This window comes from Homo sapiens, chromosome X (genome assembly GCF_000001405.40).
Source record: "Homo sapiens chromosome X, GRCh38.p14 Primary Assembly".
NCBI lineage: Eukaryota > Metazoa > Chordata > Mammalia > Primates > Hominidae > Homo > Homo sapiens.
Window position 1 is genome coordinate 40852155 of NC_000023.11, and position 2786 is coordinate 40854940.

The 2786-nt window shown below is 39.8% G+C and overlaps 2 annotated features.

The window, feature by feature from the left end:
- Positions 810-1377: an enhancer, noted in NCBI's record as "OCT4-NANOG-H3K27ac hESC enhancer chrX:40712217-40712784 (GRCh37/hg19 assembly coordinates)". NCBI's record gives its function as "activates a minimal SCP1, AML or CMV promoter by ChIP-STARR-seq in naive H9 embryonic stem cells {active_cell/tissue: H9 hESC(naive)}" and the evidence as "EXISTENCE:reporter gene assay evidence [ECO:0000049][PMID:30033119]".
- Positions 1378-1945: an enhancer, noted in NCBI's record as "OCT4-NANOG-H3K27ac hESC enhancer chrX:40712785-40713352 (GRCh37/hg19 assembly coordinates)". NCBI's record gives its function as "activates a minimal SCP1, AML or CMV promoter by ChIP-STARR-seq in primed H9 embryonic stem cells {active_cell/tissue: H9 hESC(primed)}" and the evidence as "EXISTENCE:reporter gene assay evidence [ECO:0000049][PMID:30033119]".

The following is a 2786-nucleotide window of genomic DNA, read 5'->3' on the forward strand; positions in this document are numbered from 1 at the left end:
CGCGAGCCATTGCGCCTGGCCTTAAGTAATTCTTAAACAAAAGCCTTATGATTCTAATGTCAGAAATCCTATCTATAAGAACAGTGGAGATGAAAATGGTCAGTATCTAGTGCTACATGACTTTCGGTTGCAAGGAAATGGGCCAAAGTGCAGCCTGATTAATGCTTAATTATAACTACATTTCTGTCCTGAATTATTCTTAATTCTGCCTGTGAAGACAGCTTCACACTGAACTCCCGTCCCATCTCTTTTCCCTGCCTATCCCAGTGACACTTTTAGTACCTTTAAAACTAACCTTCTAAGTTAGCATATTCTATAGAGCACCTCTTTCCAATAAAATATAATGCAAGCCACATATGTAGTTTTCAGTTTTCTGGCAGCCACATTTCAAAAAGTAAAAAGAAACAGGTTAAATTTTAATATTTTATTTAACTCAGTATAACTACAGTATTATCATTTCAACATGTAATCATTTCAACATGCACTCTGAATTTTAAAAATTACCTCAGGTGATTATCATTCAAAAGGTTTGGCAAATAGGATTATCCATTGCCTCAAGAGCCTTAGAAATTCCTCTGGGAAGTAGAAGCTGAAAGAGGAAGGGTCACCAGCCAGGCTAAACTCTGGGCTTTAATGGGGCTTCTTTGTGGCAGCTCTGAGCTCTGGGAACCAGGGCAACCATGTGAGAATTCCAGGTTTCAACTTGTAACCAACTTGACCACCTCTCTAAATAAGTCTGATTCTCATTAACCACTAAGAGCTAAGAGTAGAGACTCTCTTCCTCATGAACATCATCTATCTGTCTGTGCATCTGTTTGTTCATCCATCTGTCTACATATCTACTTTATCTACTATCTAATCTTTTGATGGGCTCTAGTGTCAGAAATCTCTGTATTTTTATCTGTGCCTCTTGTTAGCTCTGGGACTTTGGGCAAATTCAACTTCTCTGAGTTCCTCTTTTTACACCTTAAAAATGGGCATAATAATGTTACTACCTGCCTACCAATCATAGAATGAGGATTAAATGAGTCAAGTATTTTTAAATGTGAGGATGAAAGGCACAGTGGCCTATGTTAAGCGTTCCATGAATGGTGGCCACTATTATGCAGAGATCTCCTCTCTGCAGGACTAATAGCTTTCTAACAGCTAATGGGAAGAACAGAAAAGGCCACATACAAGAGATTAAGAAACAGAGACACTTCAAATTTTGATGTGTTACAATACCTAAGGCTTAGCACAAAACTTCCATGGGTTTCCACGTAAAGACCAAAATAAAATTAAGGTCCTTTCCTTGTCTTAGCATCTATTTGCATTGTAAATTTTAGCTTGGGCTATTCAAATGAAATTCTTCTTGTGCAGTTGGTCTTTCTCTTTCTGCAGCTCTTTTAACATTTTCATTGAACACACCTACTTTCCATTCTCTCTACAAGTCACGAGCCTTTGCTTCTGTCATTCTAAGTGATTTTCTTCTGGAGCATACATAAGTAATTTTAAACAGTGGCCCTGGAAACGGCTTTTACTGTGAGAAAAAACTTCTAAGGTGATATGTAAGTAGGTTTAGCTGGAGTCCACCCACATCCCCACAGAGCTAAATCCCCCTGTTACAGTAGAAAGGAGGACTTCAGAAAGAGAAATAAACTGCAGAAATTTCAAACTAAAAGGGACTTTAGAAAACATTTAACACAATTTTTCCTAAATATTGCACCACCAAGCACCTGCCCAGCCCACACTTGCACAGTAGCCCTCATTATGTTGCAATATGGTTGGTAGTGTGCCTATCTTGTCTGCTACCTTCTGAGATTGTGAAAAGAGGGATCAAGTCTTACTCATCTGAACCCCCAGCACCATACTTGATACATAGTAGGTAGTGAGTAAATGTCTGATAAATGAGTGAAAATGCTTTGGGACTTGTAACAATCTATTTCTAAAAGATCCATTAATAAAAGATCAGAGTGAGGTCTTTATGTCCCATCATTTTTGCTTTCCAGGGGTTGTCTTTGTTCTCTGTTATGGTTTTACACTTCCTGGGGCTCAGTTTCTGTAACATGTGGCTGACATTTTAAGTGGCATTTAAAATGTGGCTGACTGAGGTCCCAGGCATAATGTGAAACATAATTATCTGGTGAGGATTTCAAAGTACTACAGAATTAAAAATTCTCAACCTATCGCATCTTTAGAATGGCCATTTTCACTACCAAGTGGAGAGAACCTGCCTGAGAATGAAGCTTACACAGAGGAAATCAATATTAAGTGAAGGAGAGAAAGGTGTCTTTCTGATGACATCATCTGAGTACCTGGATCCAGCCATACTTGAATGAAGTCAGTACACCTGCACTTTTCTCTTATATGAGCTGATATATTGGCTTTCCATTTAAGCCAGATCAAGTTAGGCTTTGGTCACCTGTCACCAAAAGAACATTGATGAATAAACATCAAACAAGCCCAGTGCTGTGGCTCACACCTGTAATCCCAGCACTTTGGGAGCCCGAGGCGGGCGGATCACTTGAGGTCAGGAGTTCCAGATCAGCCTGGCCAACATGGCGAAACCCTGTCTCTACTAAAAATACAAAAATTAGCTGGGCGTGGTGGCACACGCCTGTAATTCCAGCTACTTGGGAGGCTGAGGCACAAGAATCACTTGAACCCGGGAGGCAGAGGTTGCAATGAGTCGATATTGTGCCATTGCACTCCAGCCTGGGTGACAGAGTGAGACTCTGTCTCAAAGGAAAAAAAAAAAAAGACCAAACAATTAGAGCACAATAAAAGCTAACATATAATAGGACTTG